A 22,591-nucleotide genomic window follows, 5' to 3' on the forward strand; every position below is an offset into this window, starting at 1 on the left:
CCTTTCCCTAGGAGAGAATGGAGACCCAGCCCCCTCCCCATGATACCATTAGACCTAAAGTCATCAGATAACTAAAGTGGGGTTGGTGGCTTCCAGAATACTGGCTCCAGCTAGAGCTGGAGGGGAACAAGAACACAGAAGTAGGTCAGGGCTTTAAACAATCATCACAATCAAAGAGAAGGATACAAACCAAAGGTACTCAGTCCGTGGCTGGACTGACTAGGGAAGACAGCCATAGCTCATCTCCCAATTACCCTGAAAATTCTCCCGCCAAACTGCCACCCCCAGCCCCATAACTAAAGCACAAGCCACAGGAAAGTTTTAGAAACCATTCCTTTCTTTATTAAACATAGCTTGCAAGTGATAAATATTACAAAGTTTTTTTTTCTTTTAATCCTTTCTCCAAAAATTAGCTTATTATTTGAATCTGTCACTGCTGAAATGCTCAGCAGCATCTGAAACAGATGGGAGTGTATTTGCCTTTTTGAAAACCAGTTTCTATTGGTCTTAGTTTTTTCATTTTATTTCCCAAACACAATGCAGAAAATCAGAATGAGTTAAAAAAGAAATAAAGGAAACTTAAAGAGAGTTGTGCAAAAGGGTCTTGTTCCCCTCCCACCCACCCTATTCAGGGAAGGCCATTCCCCATCCCACCTCCCTGCTCCCCACCCCCCAACCCCAATCTATCCTTTCACCTTCACCAGGGCTTCACCCATCACCCTGTACCCTCTCCAGGCTTTATCAGCCCAGAACCTAAAGAAGAGAGTAGGAGTACTCAGCCCAGGCTGTGGGGAAATTGGGCCCCTGAAGGAGACAGACTGTGAAACAGCTGCCTTTAGCGGGGTTCAGATGAAATCTGAGGAAAGGAGACAAAATGTGGGCTGTGTCTGCGCTCTCCTATTTTATCACCAAGATGGGGGAAAAGTTACACATCCTGTAGCTCACAAAGGGAGTAAATAACTAAAGCACCAACCTGGGGCATTCAATTGTCAACCACCCTTAAGGGCTCTGTGGTTGGCTGTGAGATGGGGCTTGAGGCCTAGTCCCCGCCCTCAGATGACTAGAGGCATAAAGGCAAAGATGTCACTGGTCTGATGCCCTGGACATGACTCTGCTGCCTCTCCCAAATCAAGGGTAACCATAGAGGACTGGCAGTTCTCCAAGAGCATTGTCATACACATAACCACTTCAACGCGAGTCACTTTCAGTTCCTCCCTGGTTTCTGGGCCCAACACTTTCCTCACCTCAAGTTGTTTTTTGGTTTTGGCAGGTGAGAAGTATAGAATTTTAAACTTGGTGGCCAGATGATCCCCCTCTTCACTTCACAGATAAGAAAATTGATACTCAGAAAATTAACTCTACCAAAGATCATATAGCAAGTTAGTAGGAGACCCCAGGTCTCCAGATTGTAGCCCCCTCAACCCCTTTTGTGTTGGTGGTTCTTTTTACTCTACAAAGTCCTGGACCAGGAGGTCTTGGCTTTCACAGGAGCTCAGCCTCACCTCGGTTCACGCAGCCTAAGGCTGTGCAGATGGATGTGGCTCTCACTAGGTGAAATTTCCTCAGGATGACTTATTAAAATCCTTTCTATCATCCCCTGACAATCCACCCTCAAAGGCCCATAAGACTAGGTTCTTTCTTTTTTGAGGAGGTGGGGTGGGGGAAATCCCTTGCATAAGAAAGCTTGACACTGAATTTTGTTATATAGGTATATTGTATATATGCTGATGCAATCAGAGGAAAAAAACAGTGCAAATACAATTACAATTCATAATAATACTTGGTTTCGATGCCCCCGGGAACTGCCCCATTCCTCGGCTACCTCCCAGCCCCCAGCACTTCCCCACAGTATCAACCTAATGCTGGGGGATAGGGAGGGTGGGCAGGTTAGGGTAGGGAGTGGGCTCTGCCAAGGCAGTGCTGGTGACCCGGAGGGACTACTCCAGGGTGGGGAGGCAAGGCACAAATTAGGGGTGGGTGGTGGGGGAGGTGGCATCTCTAAGGAGGGATGGGGTTGGAGCAGCTGCCAGTCTCAGTGTGCTGGGCCCGGCCCACTCCCCTACCCACCCTCCACAGCCCTGCCTCCCTACCCCCTCCCCTTCCCCAGAAACCCTTTTGCACGGATCATACACAAACGGGCACATTACAAAATGACATAACACAGTTTCACAATATCCATGGCTAGGGCTTTTTTTTCTCTTTTTCAGGTTTTTTTTTTTTTCTACACAATGTACAATTCCTTTTAAATGGATCAAGAAATAGCTTATATACATGAACGAGTCCTTGTTATAACATCTCGGCAGCAAATATCATAAGCTAATGAAGGTCTTGATGGAAAGGATGGGAGCCTAGGACGGGGGTGGGGGTAGGGGGTGTGGAGAGAAGGGTTATGCCTTCTGGAGGAGTGGGGAGAAAAGGGAATGATTAGGGAAAAGGAACAAAAGTAAAATATCAAGAAGCATCTTTACAAAGCAGTTCTATAGCTAATTCCTTTTAAAGGGGAAAGGAAAGGTAACCAAAGCAGGAAAACATTTATCTCTGTGTCTTAAAAAAAAATTGTCTACCATACATATATCCAAAAATGTGGGAAAAATACTTATTCCAGGGAGAGAGGGAGTTCAGATGCTGTGGTCAAATTATAAAATAAAATCGACAAATAAGAACCTCTGTCCCCTAGTTTTACTCAAGCCTTACCGCTATTCCACCCATTTCAGGCTTCCAGGGAGTAAGACACCAACCTTAAAATACTGCTTTTAGTGCCTCTGGGGATGGAGGAAGCCAGGCAGAACTGGTGGGATCCTCACTCTACTAATAATGCTCCAAACAGAGGGTCTTTCCTCCTGTCCTTAGGGCATGAGGTTTAGTGTCTACACGGCCCAGAGCCTGGAGATGGATAGTAACAAGTAGACTTGGAGGGACACAAGGCAATCAGTGATGAAAAAAAAGAGACGGAGAATTGAGGAAGACAGAAGGATGAGGAAGGAGGAGGGAAGGGAGGAGGTGGAAGGTTAACACTTTACCATGATTAGGGAGACCTCACCTCCATCACTAATCCCTGGGAAGAGTATGAAAATGGGGAGAAGAAAGGGTAAGAAATCAAACCTCAGCGGTTGAACAAAGGGTCACCGAGCTATACTAGTCAAGAAGCAGCTTCTATGTAACTGACCCTGAGGGGATAAAAACAGGGAAGATTCCACCATCTCCCCTGTGACCTCAGCACCTAAGCAGGCACTCGACTATAGGCTTTCCTTCTCCATGATTCCCCAACTCTATACATCTTACTTCCAAACCCCATTCTAAGGTGGCCTGGCTCCCAGGGAAAGGACTCAGCTCAGGGCAGGGCAGGGACAGCCCCCAGCCAGACGGTATTGCACATTCTCTGTTCCTTACTTTTAATCTCAACTGACAAACTTGGGCATCTCGTACCTCTGAGCACCTCTGAGCTTGGGGAGAGGGAGACGTAACAGAAATGGCACTTCATCATGAGGGAGGGAGGAAGAGGCTAGACAGACATGCCACAAGGCAAGATGACTTGTGGGGAAAACATTTTTAAAAAAAGCTTCCAATTTTGTGGAAGAGAGAAAAGCAAAACCAAACAATTTATCCAGTGCTTTCAAAGCACAGAGGGCAAAGAAAAGATGTAAGAATATATCTTTATATATATATATATAATTTTAAAATAATCCCAGACCCAGTTCCATTAACCCCCCTCCCTCTCCCACCACTTACAGTCAGGGGTACCACATTCCCCGGAAAAATACTCAAAAAACCCAATCACTACCTGTTACTAGCATCTAGCTTCCAGATCATTTCACCACTGGGGGAGCCCAGACACTGGCTGCATCTCTGCTCCTTTAAGTGCTCAATGAATTTGGGGTAAGGGAGGAAAGAAAAAAGCCAGGAAGGCCCGTAGGGCCAGTATAGTCACCCACAGTGGCACTGGGGTGTGGGGAGTAGAGGCCAGAGTAGGGGAACTGAGCCTGATTTTAGCTCTTTCTCCCACCCCACCTCCAAATTTTATGGGGAAGGTGTGCAGTTCATGTGTGTGTTAATTTTAAAAGTGCCTTCTTTAAAAAATTACTTAATTTTAAAAAATAAAAGTGGGGAAACTTCCTCAGGTGACTTTCAAGGGCAAAATATTAAACTTCTCCTCATTCTTCTCTGCTGAGAACATTCCCCCCAGTGCACTCTGGCAGCTTCTGGAGCCAGAGAGGCAGGTGGGTGTACACTATGAGAAGAGCAGAAACCCGTACCTTTAAGGGGCTTCCCTTACTTCAAAAACAGCCTGGTCCACTCCGTCTTCCCACAGTGTGGGCAAATGGGATGCTAATCTCCCCAGTCCCCAGAACAGCAACATTGCACAATTCAATTCATTCTCTACATTAGTAGCGCTTAAAAAAAAAAAAAAAAAAAAGGCAAAATTAATATCATTCTGGGGGCGGGCGGGGGGCAGTGGGAAGCAACTATTTGTACAGCAGAGGTCCTAAGCTGGTTTTGCCATGAGCTGTTTGGCTTTGAGCAGTTGGTTCTGCAGCTGGTGCAGCAGAGTAAGGACAGGACTCCAACCTGATTGTGTACCCCCAGCCTCTCATCTCCTGGCACTCAGAGGGTGAAAGAATAGGCAAATATGCGAATCTCAACTGTTGGAAGAGAAATCCTTTCTTTCGTCTAAGTCTATTTCCTCCTGTTGTCACTTGACTCATTTATGTCCACCCAACTTGTGGGACACCCAGCAAACAGCCTTGGAACAGCCGTTCCTCTGTATTATAGATGGGGCTATGGTTAGAGGGGATAGATTAGAATTTTTAAAAGCAGGGTGGGGTGAGGGAGAATTTTACAAAGAATACAAGATGAAATAATTTTGGGCTGGTTGGCCTGGAATAGACTTCCGTGTTCCCAATGGGGTCAGGAGATCGGTCTTATTTCCCCAAGATACAGAAAGGCAGGACCTAGTTTCAATCCTCCCTGGCTCATAATTGAGCCCATCTTCATACCTCTTTCTTCCCGTCTTCTATGGGTAAATTCCAGAGTGGTTGAGTTTTAAGCTCCTCCCCAGGCTCTTTCCCCTCATTCTTAGAGCCCAACTTCAGTACCAAACACTGCCACCCAAATTGTCCAGCCCCCAAACACCCACAGGTAGGGTGCTATTCGTCCTTCTTTGATACCCCCCACCCTGCGCCCTCCTCCGGTTAAGTGCATTCAAAACTTCTGCCCCTAACACTCCTAGTCATGTCCTACTTGGCAGCTGGGACCCCTACTGCAATCTGCAATGCTCGTATCATTGAACTGAATGTCATTTGTGTTTACAAAAAAAAAAAAAAAAAAGGAAGAAAAGGAAAAAGAAAAAGATTGGTTGAGTGGGGGAAGGTTTAACCGTCCACTGAACAAAGGGAGGACACACAACATCATTAAAAATGGTAATAATTATAGCATAAAACAACTTTAGAAACACACATCGGAGGGCTTAGATTCTCCCCAGGACCTCATTCTGACCTCTATCAGAGGTAAAGATCCACCTCACTGTTAAAGAAAACTGAAGAGAGAAGACAGAGCGGCAGAAGAACAGATCGCAGCAGTGTGAAATAAAGGGGAGGTGGCAGGGCAGGGCGTGTGTTTTCTTGCTGATCTCTATTTTTTGTCTTCTGTTTTTCTGTTTTGCTTTCCGTGTATGGTAGGCACCAGTACAGGCACTGCATGCGACAGAAGTTGGGGGAATGAAAGAGGAAAGGGATAAAGGATTCAAGGATGGGGCAGTACAAGTGGAACAGGCGTTATTTCTGTCCACTGATGGACTGCGATATAGACCGGGGAGGGATCATGTCTAAAAGGTATTCACGCTGTCGGTCTGCCAAACTGGGGCCTTTGTGTCCTCCGATGCCAGTATTCAAGTATGCAATGTTGACACCTGGACCCAGGAGACAAAAGTGGAGGGCAGGTATTAAAAGAGGAAATAACATTCCCTTCCACTCTACCCTCGGGCTGCAGAGTTGGAGATGGAAAGGAAGCAGAATTTACCAGTATCTGGTCACACTTGGTTAGCTTTATTTCAACAGCAACTTTCTTTTTCTTTTTTGAGATGCAGTCTCATTCTGTCACCCAGGCTGGAGTGCAGTGGTGTGATCTCCGCTCACCTCTGCCTCCCAGACTCAAGCAATTCTCCTGCCTCAGCCTCCAGAGTAGCTGGAATTATAGGCGCGTGCCACTACTGCCCGGCTATTTTTTGTATTTTTAGTAGAGATGGGGTTTCACCATGTTGGCCAGGCTAGTCTTGAACTCCTGACCTCAAATGATCCAACGGCCTCAGCCTCCCAAAGTGCTGGGATTACAGGCATGACCCACTGCACCCAGCCAATTAATTTTGTTTGCTTATTTATCTGAGACAGAATTTCGCTCGTTGCCCAGGCTGGAGGTGCAGTGGCACAATCTCAGCTCACTGCAAGCCCCACCTCCCAAGTTCAAGCGATTCTCCTGCCTCAGCCTCCCGAGTAGCTGGGATTACAGGCACCAGCCACCACGCCGGGCTAATTTTTTGTATTTTCAGTAGAGATGGGGTTTCATCATGTTGGCCAGGGTGGTCTTGAACTCCTGACCTCAGGTAATCCACTCGCTTTGGCCTCCCAAAGTGCTGGGATTATAGGCATGAGCCACCACGCCCAGCCAATTTTTTGTATTTTTAGTAGAGACAGGGTTTCACCATGTTGGTCAGCCTGGTCTTGAACTCCTGATCTCAAGTGATTCGCCTGCCTCGGCCTCTCAAAGTGCTGGGATTACAGGTGTGAGCCACCGCGCCCTGCACAGCAACTTTATTTCAATCCCCACTCATATTCCTAAGCTTTAGGAAAAGGGGACTTCCTGAAATTTCGGTCCTACCAAGAATAATGAACATGCTTCTGATGGTATGGGAGAGACAAGTGAAACAGTGGTGAGAGGAAGATGAATAAGACAGAGAGATAGAATCATTAAATCAGCTTTGATTTTGAGGCTGCAGATTGTGCAGAAGCATCCCTGGATCATTCAAACAGAACAGTTAACCCTGCTGTCCCGGCCAAAAGAGATCAATAACCACATGTCTACTGAAGGGATATTAAAAGTTAAATTGATAATGGTAGGATCTGGGTCATTTTCACCACCAAAACCCTAGTGCATTGTGGGTGGCACTTAATATGAATTTAGCAAACATTTGCTGAGTAACAGAAGAGTGAGAGTGTATGCCCTAAAGAAAGAACAGAAAGTAAAGGAACAATTCCCTTAAAGGGGCTGCTACAGAACTGTATACTAACTAACAGCTGACCCATGAGAAACATTTTCAGATTAATCCTTCTTACCTGGCATACCAAGGAGGCCACCTGGCACAGACAACTGGGGTGCCTGTGCAAAGTTTGAAAGCATGGAGCGGGCAGATGTGGGTATGCCACGCTGGAGGCTGCTCTGGGGCTGTGGAGCCTGCAATGATGAGGAGACAGTGGATACAACTTTGATATGATAGAATGTTAAGCGGGGGCAAAGATAAGGGAGTACAGAAGAAGACTATGATTTCCCACAATAGAAAGGACAAATTGTGATAAATGGCTGATAAATCTTCTAAAGAAATCAGGATCAGGCAAAAAGTTCCTTACCTGCCGAAGCGTATGATGTCTCATGATGGTCTCTTGTTTACTGACACTGGACACAGCTGGAGCCGTAGTGGGGGAGAGGGCTGCCTGCTGCTGTAATCGCTGTTCAATTTCCTGTTGGGAGTCATCACATCAGGTGATTGAGCAGGACAGCACCCAATACCCAATTTCCTTTTTTTTTTTTTTTTTTAAACAGAGACACAATCTGACTTTGTTGCCCAGGCTGGTCTGGCACTCCTGGGCTCAAGCAATCCTCTCACCTTAGCCTCCCCAAAGTGCTGGGATTACAGGCATGAATCACTGCACCTGGCCCACCCAATTTCCTAACCAGAAAACCTGGAGGTGTTCTTACCTCTAATGTTGTTGGCTAGTTGGTGGAATATGGAAAAGGCAAAAGAGTTTGGTGGGGGTGGTACACTGAGATTTCTGGGTATAAGCAGCTAACTTGCTTCAATGATCAAGGGATCCTCCTCTCTTTCTCCAGGAAAGCTGGCTCTAAGAAGTTGGCTGGAGGTGATGAACCAACTGATATAATTAAGGCTGATGAATTACTGGGGTTTTATTTTATCACTTTTTCTTTTCTCTTTTTAAAAATTTTTATTTATTTATTTTTTACCACCAGTCCTAGAGCATAAATGGGGTTTTATTTTTGACTCCTGCCTACCCGATCTTCCAAAAAGTCCATGATGCTACTCAAACAAGGGACTCTGATGGGTGGAGTGGGAAATAGGAAGAAAAGGATCTGAGTTTCCCAACACATTTTTCCTTCTCTAAGATATTCTCATCCTATAACTGCTACATGAGATGTTCACATACTCTAGAACCACTACTCTTCACTGGGCTACTTCATAATTCACTCTTTCTTTCGTCATTTCTTATCAAACACGCACTGCAAATAACTGTTTCAAAGAGATTTATAGCACAAATATAAATTCCTCCCACCAAAATCTATTATTTGTTTTAGGAAAAAATGAAGATGAGAATAGAGTGCTATGGAAAAGCCAAGAGTCCCAAGCTTTCTGTCCCTTTCTGTTAACCTCAGCCATTATATTTTACCATGTTCTTAATCAGAATACTCGCTCAAATGGAAATAGGACACAATGATAAGGAGACAAAAAGGGAACCTGTGGACCTGTAGGGATCACATGAACCACTCCTGCAAACTAGAAGGCGCGACCCTTTGGAAAAAACAAACTGGGACAGGTGGCCAGTGAGCAGTCAGAATTCTTACCTGTTCCTGCTGTAGGGCTTTCACAAATGCATTTTTCAGCCGGTTGGTGTGTTCAGCTTTTAGAGCCTTTTTCTGGTTGGAGGTCATACACTGCTCACATAGAATCTTACCATTCTTTTCTTGCTTCCAGTGAGGGGTGAAATCTGTGCGGCACTGGGCACATACAAAGGGTTCAACCCGCAGAAGTGAGGCACAGCTTTTGCCTAGATACCAACAAAAATAGTCAGTGGCTTTACATTTCCTATCTCCTCTGTTTCTCTTAATCAAATAGATCTTTTCCAGGAGTTTATTCTGTTGAATTAAAGAAAGAGACTTTACAAAAAGGATATTCTATAATTTACAAAATACTTTTATTTCATCTGATTATAACAGTATCACTTTAGGGAATTCAGACAGTACCATCCTCATTTACAAATGAGGACAGAAGTCGAAGAAATGTAGCTTCTGGCTGGGTGCGGTGGCTCACCCCTACAGTCCCAGCACTTTGGGAGGCTGAGGTGGACGGCTAACGAGGTCAGGAGTTCAAGAACAGCCTGACCAACATAGTGAAAACCCGTCTTTACTAAAAATACAAAAAAATTAGGCGGGCGTGGTGGCACGCGCCTGTAATCCCAGCTACTCAGGAGGCTGAGGCAGGAGAATCGCTTGAACCTGGGAAGTAGAGGTTGCAGTGAGCCGAAATTGTGCCAGTGCACTCCAGCCTGGGTAACAGAACAAGACTCAGTCTCAAACAACAACAACAACAACAAAGGTAGCTTCTAACTGATAAAGCTGGGATGTTTCCTGATTTTCTACTGTATCACACTGAGAAGAAAATACTGTGTCAATTCAAAGTCAAAGGACTCTAACTCAACCAATACTTTTGCTTCTTAATATCTCCTTACCAAAGACTGTACTTATCCCTGTCATATACATTTATAGTTTTAAATAGTTATCAGTGTCTGAATTATTCACTTTGTGATCTATTTATAGCTAATACTGACTCCTCTGGGCACTTTACTGGCAGGCTTTCCCAGAAGTCTACCTGTTTAGAAATTCAAGTTTAATAACTTCAGTTAGTCTAGACTGTATGTTGTTAATACTCTATAGTATGGTTTAGTATTGGTTTACAGCTTTTTATAAGGTCTTTCTTAGTTATCTATGTAAGTGTGTGTTTCTCAACTGTAAGCATTCACAGAAGACTAAACACAGTAATTCAGTACAATGTTGCAAAAACACTCACATTAAAAACAGAAGTTCCAGGCCAGGCATGGTGGCTCACACCTGTGATCCCAACACTTTGGGAGGCTGAGGCAGGCAGATCACTTGAGGCCAGGAGTTTGAGACCAGCCTGGCCCACATAGCAAAACCCTATCTCTACTAAAAACAGAAATAATTAGCTAGGTGTGATGGCACACATCTGTAATTCCAGCTACTTTGGAAGCTGAGACAAAAGAATTGCTTGCGCCGGGCACAGTGGCTCATGCCTGTAACCACAGCACTTTGGGAAGCCGAGGCAGGTGGATCACCTGAGGTCAGGAGTTCGAGACCAGCCTGACCAACATTGTGAAACCCCGTCTCTAAGAAAAACACAAAAATTGGCCAGGTGTGGTGGCAGGCACCTGTAATCCCAGCTACTCAGGAGGCTGAGGCAGGAATATTGCTTGAACCCAGGAGGTGGAGGTTGCAGTGAGCTGAGATCATGCCATTGCACTCTCTAGCCTGGGCAACAGAGCAAGATTCCATCTCAAAAAAAAAAAAAGAATTGCTTGAAACCAAGAGGCAGAGGTAGTCAGCCAGCTAAGATCATGCCACTGTACTCCAGCCTGGGTGACAGAGTAAGACTCTGTCTCAAAAAAAAAAAAAAAAAAAAAAAAAAAAAAACCAACAAAGAAAAAAACTGGCATGGTGGTGCATACCAGTGGTCCCAGTTACTCAGGAGGCTGAAATGGGAGGATGGCTTGAGCCTGGGAGGTCAAGGCTGCAGAGAGCTGAGATCACACCACTGCACTCAAGCCTGGACAACAGGGTCAGACCCTGTCTCAAAAAAACAAAAAAAAAAAACAAAAAAAAAAAAAAGAAAAGAGAAGTTCTATTTATCAAATTATGCAAGCATCATGCTAGCCACCATTTAAAAGAACTAAACAAAATACAGTCAGTCCTCAATGTTGTTGACAGGTTCTCAGAGACTATGATTTAAGTGAAACAACATACAACAAAAACAATCTTTTTTTTTTTACTAATGTTATAATAAAATGATGTTATTTGAGGACCCCCTTCACCGTAGTTGTTTCACTTAAAGTCACAGTTTCTAAGAAACTATTGATGATGTTAAGTGAGAACTTACTGTCCTACAAAAAACACACAAGATAGATAAAATCCAAATAAAAATATCAAGCCTCAATGATAGCTGACCTGCTGAAGGGAAAAAAAAACAAGCCGAAAGATAGATGATAGATTAGATAGAATAGAATAGATAGATTAGATAGATGATAGATTAGATAGATAGATAGATACATAGGCAGGCTGGCCCCGGCCGGCTGACGGGGTACAGTGGCTCATGCCTGTAATCCTAGCACTTTAGGAAGCCGAGGTGGGCAGATCACCTGATGTCAGGAGTTCGAGACCAGCCTGGCCAACATGATGAAACCCCGTCTCTACTAAAAATACAAAAATTAACCGGGTGTGGTGCCACGTGCCTGTAGTCCCAGCTACGTGGGAGGCTGAGGCAGGAGAATTGCTTGAACTCAGGAGGCAGAGGTTGCAGTGAACTGAGATTGTGCCACTGCACTCCAGCCTGGGCAACAGAGCGAGACTGCATCTCAAACAAAACACACACACACACACACACACACACACACACACACACACACTCCGCTTCTAACATGTTGCTCCCAAACAGCTGTAAAGAAGGGAGGGAGGTGGTTTGGTAACAGGAAGGAGAAGTTATTTAATATTGTACAGTACCCTCTGATACTCTGCCTATGTCAATCAGGCTTGGCAACCACTTGCTTAAATAGATTGATTAGAAGAAACAGCCTTACCTTGGCTGTCAATGACACTCTGTACGACTTCTTCCAAGCCTACCATGTAGATGAACTCGCTATTGGCTGCACTAGGCAAGAAATGAAGTAAGGGAGCAGGAGGTTTAGGGGGTGGGATCTCCAGGAGTGTCTTTTCCAGCTGTTTGCGAAGAGCCAATTTGGCTGCAGCCTGTGAGTTGGCAGCATCAGTCATGGCGCTGGGGCTAGGAAGTGGCGAGGACACTCTGTTCACCGTCCCTGGCTGGATATGAGAAGCAAGGTTCATATAGATGGCAGAGGATGTTGTACGCTGACATGGAACAGAAGAACTTGACTGCTGAAATAGATTGAGAATGCGGTCAATCATGGTATGCAGGAGAAAGGGCCAATTCTTACGTTCTTGGCAGAGGACACTGTCTGATCCTGGTTTGGACTACTTAGCTTCTCCAAAAATAGGAGGTGGTCAACTTATTTATTGAAAAAGAACTCTGACACATAGGAAAGGAGAATGATGATGACCATGAGCTAACATTGCTAAGAGAGAAATAAAGGCCACGCGTGGTGGCTCACGCCTATAATCTCAGCACTTTGGGAGGCCGAGGTAGGCAGATCACTTGAGGTGAGGAGTTTGAGACCAGCCTGGCCAACATGGTCAAACTCTGTCTCTACGAAAAATACACAAAATTAGCTGGAAATTCCTTGAACCCAGGAGGCAGAGGTTGCAGTGAGCCAAGATCATGCCACTGCACTCTAGCCTGGGCAACACAGTGAGATTCCAGCTCAAAAAACAAACAAACAAACAAACAAAAAAGAGACAGAAATAAGATTTTGCTTTCTGTCACACATCCTTGTGCTTCTTATTCCCTAGATCACTCTCTTCTAGGCAGATTTTTAGCTTACTGCTGCTCTGCTGTATAACCTCTCTCCTCCACTACTATTTTAATATAATTCCTCAAAGCTTCTACTTTTGGGACTGCTCTCAATTAAATCCCTACCAAAATAACCATTTTTGTCCTAGAGTTTATCTATGTATAAAAACTTAAAACCTATGGCCCTTTCGACAAGCAAAGCAAACAAAGGGATTTCTCTGTTTCCACATTAGGGCTCAGCTCTCTCTTACCGGTTGATAATTGATGGCGGGATTCATGTTGGGTGTTGTGGTGCGTACAAGGCCAGGCTTAGGCGGGCCCCGCTGACCCTGTAGCTGGGCTGGGTTTGGTGCAATAACACGTTGAGACATCAACATGTGTGGAAGGGTGGTATTGGTAGCTGAACGGATGACACTGTGACCCTGGAGGGGAAGAAGAGGAAAAGAACTAATCACAGGTTGTACGCTGTGTATAATACAGCACAAAATGCAAAAGGGAAAACACTGCCTATAATACATAGCTAAGTAGAAACACAGGAACACAGCCAGACTTGGTAATTTCATTTAATGGTCTATGGGATAAATCTACCATCATTGTAAACCCTGATTAGTGGCTGGGAAGTCCTTGGCTTTTTTTGGTATAAACTATCTAATCCTATAGGGTTAGATAGAAAACTATCTACCCCTTCTCTAGAGAAGCTGGAAGCATTCTCTAGACAAGAAAAACTACAGTGGAAACATGAAAGTTACTCATCCTTCTACTGAAGACTAAATCATGCCATAATGGGCCAACAGAACAATCAGTAGTAATAACACCTCTATCATGGCCAGGTTCTTCTATAATCTTCACAAAAGCCCAAAAACAGAGACAGGATTAGACACGGCCCTCCAACACTAAGATCCCACTATGGGTCACATACCTGTAATGTTCTCAAATTTTGAGGTTCAACCCCTTGGGCCCCAGGCCGAGAGGGAAGCTTAGATAGGCCCTGCTGTCCCACATGGGCAGGAGATGGCTGAACAATAGATGCTGCATTCTGTACAACTGGAGTCTGGGAGAGGGAAGAGAAAATAAGACTGTGGCCAATAATCACAGGTGGAAATTTGGTACATTTCTAGACTTTAAAAATTCCTGGTCAGTGTGAGGTTCTTGTCAATCAGGAGGAAAAACCAGAAAAAGGGAGTCAAGGTTTTCTTTTTTTTTTTTTTTTTTGAGACAGAGTCTTGCTCTGTCGCCCAGGCTGGAGTGCAGTGGCCTGATCTCGGCTCACTGCAAGCTCCACCTCCCGGGTTCACGCCATTCTCCTGCCTCAGCCTCCCGAGTAGCTGGGACTACAGGCGCCCGCCACCATGACCGGCTAATTTTTTGTATTTTTAGTAGAGATGGGGTTTCACCATGTTAGCCAGGATGCTCTCGATCTCCTGACCTCGTGATCCACCCGCCTCGGCCTCCCAAAGTGCTGGAGTTACAGGCGTGAGCCACCGCACCTGGCTGGGAGTCAAGGTTTTCTTAAGGCCTAAGATTAAAAAAAAAATCACTACTACTACAGACTAAAAAACTACGGACCCAGAGAAGAAATGAGCCACCCAACTGAACCTACCTGGGGGAACCTACTCTCAAACCAGTTTTTCTTTCCTTTCCCTTAGTCCCTTATTTCTAGGGCACATTACCTTCTGGACCACATTCTCTTTCTGTAGCTGACTCTGTCTCAGTTTCTTTAACAGGACCAGTCGGGCTTCTTCCAATCGTAGCTCATCCCTCAGCTGCTTGATAAGCTGCTGCCGCTCCTCAATGCCTTTCCCCTAAGGAAACAAGAAGACTTTCAGCTATGGCAGCAAGGTACCCAGAATTCCTTCCTGCAAGAGACAATCTTTACTTCTTAGCTCTGAAACCTTCATCTTCCACAAGAAGCAGAAGTGGCAATAGGATTATCTTTGTATCACTGGAGTCTGGCACAGTGCCTGGCATTCAGTAGGTACTCAAAGAAATGCTTACAGAATTAAAGGACAGACCACGTATAAATGCTAATCAGCCAGATTCCTGGCAAAAAGAAGAATGACTAAAGAGAAACATTGTCTTCTTTTAAAATAATGTTCCTAAATCTCTTAAAGCCACATTTCCTCTAGATATACATAAAAACTTAGGAATCCCTTCATATTCAGTTACTTAGGTTAGAGTGCAGAAAGTATCCTTACAGCCAAGAGTTTACTTTATATGACTTAATTATGAACTTTTGTTTTCATTTTCCAAAGATAAATAACACTGAGTATAATGGCCTACATATATGCTTTTCAAACTGTCGTCTCCACTTGCTTCTAATAGTTCCTTTTGAAAGCCCTTGAAGTCAAGAGTTACTATAAAGTTTTCATCAATGGGTATTTATATCCAAAGAGTAAATAGTCAAAAAACAGAACTAAATCTCTTGAGGAATTAAATAAAATAGAAGGAGCATAACAAGAAGAAAGAAATTTTTCTTTCTTTTTACCTTAAACATCTCTAAGTTGGCTGCTTTGAGTCTTTCTTCCATTCTGGAACTGGAACGGGGACTGGAAGCCTCATTGTCAGACAAAACAATGATGTCTGGTGAGGGAGTTAGCCTTCCTCGCTCTGGCTCACTAGACAAGAAAGGGAAAAAATAAGCTATTTCCAACAAAAGTTAAGAAAACTTCTATGCTGAATTAAAAAAATCCAAGGGGGGCCGGGTGCGGTGGCTCACTCCTGTAATCCTAGCACTTTGGGAGACCGAGGCGGGTGGAACACCTGGGGTCAGGAGTTCGAGACCAGCCTGACCGACATGGTGAAACCCCGTCTCTACTAAAAATAAAAAATTAGCTGCGCATGGCGGCGCGCACCTGTAGTCCCAGCTACTCAGGAAGCTGAGGCAGGAGAATCTCTTGAACCTGGGAGGCAGAGGTTGCAGTGAGCCAAGATTGCACCACTGCACTCCAGCCTGGGCAACAGAGCGAGGTTCCCGTCTCAAAAAAAAAAAAAAAAAAGAATAGTCTATCCTGTCAAGAGTAGGTACTGAAGAGTACACAAAAGAAGGAAGTATTAATAATTTGAGGGAATAGTGCCAAGAATATTGTCTACAGCCTTACAGAAAAGGATTAAACCTCCAGAACCAAATATATTGAACTTGCATCTACTTACCAGAGTTTTATCCAGCATCTTACCTCAAAAAGAGTCTAGAAATTACTTTGAAATCTAAATCTCCTGCACTGACTCCTCTTACTCCTAATCCTATTTACTAGATAACTCTCATTTAGGTCATTCTGGGGTTAGCCTTAAAAGCATCATGCTTATTTGTGTAAGATGATAAAAAATGGCACATACTGCTTAAGACCTAGGTAACAAGAATTCCGGAAACTCTAACTGCCTCAGGTTCCCAAATCCGTGACTGTATCTTCTAATTCTCCTCTAATTTCAAAGATACATTCCCAGATCCTACTTTCCTTGAGATTGTCAGCGTAGTTGGTAGTATATAGGTCGAGGGCAATTGTTCTTTGGTCCTTTTTTTTTTCCCTCTTGAGACAGGGTCTCACTCTGTCACCCAGGCTGGAGTCCAGTGGCCCGATCACAGCTCACTGCAGCCTTGACCTCCTGAGCTCAAGCGATCCTCCCACCTCAGCCTCCTGAGTAACTGGGACTACAGGCATGTGCCGCTACGCCCGGCTAATTTTTGTACTTTTTGTAGAGACAGGGTCTTACTATGTTGCCCAAGCTGGTCTTAAGCGACCCTCCCGCCTTGGCCTCCCCTTTGGCCTTAAACAATCAACTTAAACCCTTAATGATCACAGATCGCTAGCTGTCCACTTCTCAGGGTTTCTTGTCCTAGTTGCTGTTGGCACATGGAATTTTTTTTTTTTTTTTTTTTTTTTTTTTTTTTTGAGACAGGGTCTCACTCTATTGCCCAGGCTGGAGTGTAGTGGTGCTTGCTACATTCTCAAACTCCTGGCCCCAAGAGATTCCCCCCGCCTCAGCCTCCTGAGTAGCTGGGACTACAGGTGCACACCACTGTGCCTGGCTAATTTTTTATTTTTTTGTAAGGGGTGGGGGTCTTGCTATGCTGCCCAGGCTAGTCTTGAATTCCTGGGTTCAAGTGATCCTGCTGCCTCAGCCACCCAAAGTGTTGGAATTACAGGTGTGAGCCACCATGCCCAGCCAGGACATGGATACTTTTGAACAGGGAACCCCGATCACTGGAATAAGCAATTTCCTAACAGGGTAAATCTGAGTTGCTAAAATCAACCAAACTTAGGTAAGGAAATAGAATAGGAGGATAGAAAGGTAAGAATGACTATCTTGTGAACTATTAAATTTGTCTAGATTGCTGGCCACAGACACAGCAAGCTGAGAAGGTAGAAATACAGAAAAAGCCACTAGAGGGAGAAAAGAGCCTTTCATTCTCTAACCCCAAATATGAGGAGTAACAGGCCTGAATAAAGTGTCTGCATTCTTTTTTTTGAGATGGATTCTGGCTCTGTCGCCCAGGCTGGAGTGCAATGGCGCGATCTCGGCTCACTGGAACCTCCGTCTCCTGGGTTCAAGTGATTCTCCTGCCTCAGCCTCAGTAGCTGGGATTACAGGTACCCGGCACCGCGCCTGGCTAATTTTTTTTTGTATTTTTAGTAGAGACGGGGTTTCACCGTTTTGGCCAGGCTGGTCTCAAACTCCTGACCTCGTGATCTGCCTGCCTTGGCCTCCCAAAGTGTTGAGATTACAGGCATGAGCGACTGTGCCCGGCCTGAATTCATTTTTAAAGCGTGATTTACTTCTCATTTCTATATTCCTTTATACTCCCCCTCTATGATTAACATGGGTCATTTTGGGTGGGCAGATCACTTGAGGCCAAAAGTTTGAGACCAGCCTGGCCAACGTGGAGAAACCCTGTCTCTACTAAAAATACAAAAATTAGCCGGGCATGGTAGTATACGCCTGTAATCCCAGCTACTCAGGAGGCTGAAGCACAAGAATCACATGAACCTGGGAGGTGGAGGTTGCAATGAGCCGAGATTGCACCACTACACTCCAGCCTGGGTGACAGAGCAAAACTCTGTCTCAAAAAAATTAAAAATAAATAAAAAATAAAACACCGGTAATTTTGGAATCTGGAAGATTTTTCATTTAGAAGCTCTTTCTATTCTGGTCCTGGCTGGATATATACATTACAGATTATTTCTAAGGTAAGGAATTCTTCCTTGCTCAAATGAGTGCCACTTAACTGCTTAGGAACTGCCCAGTACCAAGACAGAGATATTACTGGATGGAGATTTGGGAACTGTATGCCATTTATCAGGAAGTTATATCTGAGAACAACTTTAAATGATTATTTTATTCCCAGATATAAACACACCGGTATTAGGTAGATAGCACAGATAAGGCAAAGCCAAAGCCTCTCTGTTTTTCTTTTGAGTCGGAGTCTTGCACTGTCACCGGGGCTGGAGGGCAATGGTGCAATCTCGGCGCACTGCAACCTCCTCTCAGGTTTAAGTGATTCTCCTGCCTCCTGAGTTGCTGGGATTACATGTGCCCGCCACCACACCCGGCTAATTTTTGTATTTAGAGACGGGGTTTCACTATGTTGGCCAGACTGGTCTCAAACTCCTGACCTCGTGATCCGCCCGCCTCAGCCTCCCAAAGAGCTGGGATTACAGGCATGAGCCACCGCGTCCAGCCTCTTTTCTTGTATTTATTTTTTCTTTTGTTTTTTGAGACAGGGTCTCACTCTGTCACCCAGGAAGGAGTGCAGTGGTGCAATCATTTGTGGCTCACTGCAGTCTCAATCTCCTAGGCCCAAGCGATCCTCCCACCTCAGCCTCCTGAGTAGCTAGTTTTTAAATTTTTTGTAGAGAAGGGGTCTCCTTATGTTACTAAGGCTGGTCTTAAACTTCTAGGCTCAAGTGATTCTCCTGCCTTGGCCTCCCAAAGTGCTGAGATTACAGGCGTGAGCCACCATGCCCTGCCTCATTTCTTAATTTTAAAAAACTAATGAACTAGGATTCTGGCCTCATTTGTTAAACATTCCAAGAGAGAAATTATTTTGCTCTTTTCCTAAACATATATATAATTTACAATATTTGGGGTAGTTAAGTATGAACTCCTACCTATTAGAGAGATATTATTAAAAGACCCACTTGGTGTGACATCACTTGTGACTTAGTCTGGCATATTCTCAGAAGCTATAAAGCTCCTAATCCTTATCCCAGTAGTAAAAACAACTAAGCAGACAACTGCTGTGTCTCTCTAGAATTCTAAAACATTAGTAGTGTTGGTTTCATACATACCTTATTTCACAGGTATCGTAACTTGCCCAACTGATGGCAAAATAAGATATTTAGGCTATTATGACATGGCTATTATGTTAAGAACTTCTCTTGCCTTCTGCTTTCAAATTCTTTCATTTTTTCTTGGTAGAGATGAGGTACCACTATGTTGCCCAGACAGAGCTCAAATTCTTGCCCTCAAGCAATTCTCCCACTTTGGCCTCCCAAAGTGCTGGGAATACAGGCATGCACCACTGCACCCAGCCCTTTCCTCTTTTTATCACTATCAAAGAAACTATGGTTCTCCTTGCTGGGAATCTATCGGTTTTGCTTTTTTTTTTTGTTTTTTTGTTTGTTTTTTTTTTGAGACAAGGTCTTGGTCTGTCACCCAGGCTGGAGTGCAGTGGTGCAATCTCTGCTCACTACAACTCTACCTCCTGGGTTCAAGCGATTCTCCTGCCTCAGCCTTCCAAGTAGCTAGGATTACAGGCACCCGCCACCACGCCTGGCTAATTTTTGTATTTTTAGTAGAGACAGGGTTTCACCATGTTGGCCAGGCTGGTCTCGAACTCCTGACCTCAGATGATCCTCCCGCCTCGGCCTCCCAAAGTGCTGGGATTACAGGCGTGAGCCACTGTGCCCAGCAGTTTTGTTCATTCTTATACATCTCGGGGCTAAGTGGAAATAGCTGTCAGTATATCTGGAGTCCCAAGCTTCCAGAGGATTGTGTTTCAAAAGATCACCCCATGTTGGGTACAGCGGCCCATGCCTAATAGTCCCAGCTACTCAGGAAGCCAAGTGGGGAGGACTGCTTGAGCCCAGGAATTTGAGGAAATAGTGCACTATGACAGTGCTTGTGAACAGCCAATGTACGTCAGCCTGGGCAACACAGCAACACCTCATCTCTTTAAATGATTTTTAAAAATCACCCCAAAATAACATTTTTAAAAAAATTGTTGGGTTTGGCTAGGTGTGGTGGCTCACGCCCATAATCCCGGCACTTTGGGAGGCCAAGGCGGGTGAATCACAAGGTCAGCAGATCGAGACCATCTGGCCAACATGGCGAAACCCCATCTCTACTAAAAATACAAAAATTAGCCAGCATGTAGTCCCAGCTACTCAGGAGGCTGAGGCAGGAGAATCGCTTGAACCCAGGAGACGGAGGTTGCAGCGAGCCAAGATTGCGCCACTTTACTCCAGCCTGGGCAACAGAGCGAGACTCTGCCTTTAAAAAAAAAAAAAAAAAAAAAAAAAGTTGGGTTTTCAGGAAGTCTGACTTTTTAACATATACTGTATCTATCTGCAATATAATACAATTCCAATACCATTAATAAGATCTTATCAAAATGTCTACAGGAGCAGGACTGAAAACAGGAAAAAAAAAAAGAGTGTTAACAAAGTTTCTATGAAAAATGTTGGGCCCGGCATGGTGGCTCATGCCTGTATTCCCAGCACTTTAGGAGGCAAAGGCGGGCAGATCACTTGAGTCCAGGAGTTAGAGACCAGCCTGGGTGACACAGCGAAACCTCGTCTCTACTAAAAATACAAAACAATTAGCTGGGTACAGGGGCACACGCCTATAGTCCCAGCTACTTGGGTGGCTAAGGAGCGAGGATTGCTTGAGCCTGGGAGGTGGAGGTTGCAGTGAACGGACATCATGCCACACTGCACTCCAGCCAGGGCAACAGAGTGAGACCTTGTCAGGAAAGGGAAAGAGAAGGAAAGGAAAGAAAAATGCATTTAAAAGTTCCAATTTGGAATGTGAAGAATCCACCTAACATTTCTTTAACTCTTTCTCCCCAATGAAGTGGGATAAGTTACTTGCTCCAGAAGGGTAAGAGAGATTATAAAAGCCAAGTAGGTTGCTCAGGTTCATGATCTCATTCACCCATATCCTTTTCTTGCAAACAATCTAAAAATGAACCTACTTATATAATATTCTGCTGGCACTACCTATAACTTACAAGTATTTTTCTCCTCTTCCAGGACCTCTAGGGAATCTGCCTGAGGTTTCCTAAGAGGTTTTTTTGTGGTTGTTTTTGCTTTTTTTTAAAATGGAGACAAGAGTCTCACTCTGTTGCCCAGGTTGGAGTGCAGTGGCACGATCTCAGCTCACTGCAACCTCTACCATCTGGGTTCAAGCAATTCTCACGCTTCAGCCTCTCAAGTAGCTAGGAACACAGGTGTGTGCCACCACACCTGGCTAATTTTTTCATATTTTTAGTAGAGACAAGGTTTCACCATGTTGGCCAGGCTGGTCTCAAACTCCTGACCTCAGGTGATCCACCCGCCTCGGCCTCAAAGTGCTGGGATTACAGGTGTGAGCCACCGCTTACTAAGAGTTTTTAATGTTACTACCAAGAATAATGTTTGCTTATGGAGCATGGTTTTAAAAAATAATCCTGGGACAAGACCAGTAAGTAGACATCAAAAGGTAGAGAAAGTAACATGTGTAAAGTTATAACCATTTCTTTCTTCTTCATTCTCCACCAGTCCAGCTTCTTAGAGATTCTGCTTTGGATGAGTCCTACAACAAACTCAGCAAGGTCATTTGGAGGGCAACTCAACACTGAAGACTAATTCTCACAGCTATCAGCTGTTTCTGAACTATTTATAAACTGACTTTTTTTTTTTTTTTCAGACGAAGTCTCGCTCTGTCGCCCAGGCTGGAGTGCAGTGGAGCAATCGCGGCTCACTGCAACCTCCACCTCCCGGGTTCACACCATTCTCCTGCCTCAGCCTCCCAAGTAGCGGGGACTACAGGCACCTGCCACCATGCCTGGCAAATTTTTTGTATTTTTAGTAGAGACGGGGTTTCACGGTGTTAGCCAGGATGGTCTCGATCTCCTGACCTCGTGATCCACCCGCCTCATGATCCACCCGCCTCGGCCTCTCAAAGTGCTGGGATTACAGGCGTGAGCCACCGCACCCAGCCTAAACTGAATGTTTTAAAAGCTAGGGTTGGCTGGGTGTGATGGCTCATGCCTATAATCCCAGCACTTTGGGAGGCAGAGGTGGGCAGATCACCTGAGGTCAGGAGTTCGAGACCAGCCGGGCTACCATGGTGAAACCCCATCTCTACTAAAAATACAAAACTAGCTGGGTGTGCAGGCACGCGCCTGTAATCTCAGCTACTTAGGGGAGTAGAGAGGCAAGAGAATCACTTGAACCCAGGAGGTGGAGGGTGCAGTGAGCCTAGATCGTACCATTGCACTCAGCCTGGGCAAAAAGAGTGAAACTCCATCACACACACACACACACAACTTGGGTTATAAGCTGGGTGTGGTGGCTCACAACAGTAGTCCCAGCACTTTGGGAGGCCAATGTGGGAAGATCACTTGAGGCTGAGAGTTTGAGACCAGCCTGGGCAACATAGTGAGACTCTGTCTCTACAAAAGTATTCAAAAATTAGCTGGGTGTGATGATGCACACCTGTAGTCCCAGCTACTTGGGAGGCTAGGGCGCGAAGATAACTTGAGCCCAGGAGTTGGTGGTTACAATGAGCTATGATCATGCTACTGCACTCAAGACTGTGTGACAAAGTGAGACCCTATCTTAAAAAAAAAAAAAAAAAAAAAACTGGCTGGATGCTGTGGTGCATGTCCATAATCCG

The 22,591-nt window shown here is 44.8% G+C and overlaps 1 protein-coding gene across 3 annotated transcripts in view; it reads right to left on the reverse strand.

The window, feature by feature from the left end:
* The window catches only part of GATAD2B (GATA zinc finger domain containing 2B), a 118,248-nt gene continuing 95,976 nt past the window's right edge, over window positions 320–22,591 (reverse strand). For all 3 annotated transcript variants that reach the window (NM_020699.4, XM_047426115.1, XM_047426117.1), the window contains exons 3-11: window positions 15,201–15,330; window positions 14,386–14,517; window positions 13,635–13,766; window positions 12,967–13,137; window positions 11,868–12,183; window positions 8,845–9,047; window positions 7,617–7,727; window positions 7,326–7,443; window positions 320–5,905 (exon numbers count right to left, since the gene is read on the reverse strand). In NM_020699.4, coding sequence (NP_065750.1) covers window positions 5,772–5,905; window positions 7,326–7,443; window positions 7,617–7,727; window positions 8,845–9,047; window positions 11,868–12,183; window positions 12,967–13,137; window positions 13,635–13,766; window positions 14,386–14,517; window positions 15,201–15,330 — 1,447 coding nt within the window. In that variant the 3' untranslated portion in view covers window positions 320–5,771. The remainder of the gene's footprint in view (window positions 5,906–7,325; window positions 7,444–7,616; window positions 7,728–8,844; window positions 9,048–11,867; window positions 12,184–12,966; window positions 13,138–13,634; window positions 13,767–14,385; window positions 14,518–15,200; window positions 15,331–22,591) is intronic.

Source organism: Homo sapiens, chromosome 1 (assembly GCF_000001405.40).
Source record: "Homo sapiens chromosome 1, GRCh38.p14 Primary Assembly".
NCBI classification, from domain to species: Eukaryota; Metazoa; Chordata; class Mammalia; order Primates; family Hominidae; genus Homo; species Homo sapiens.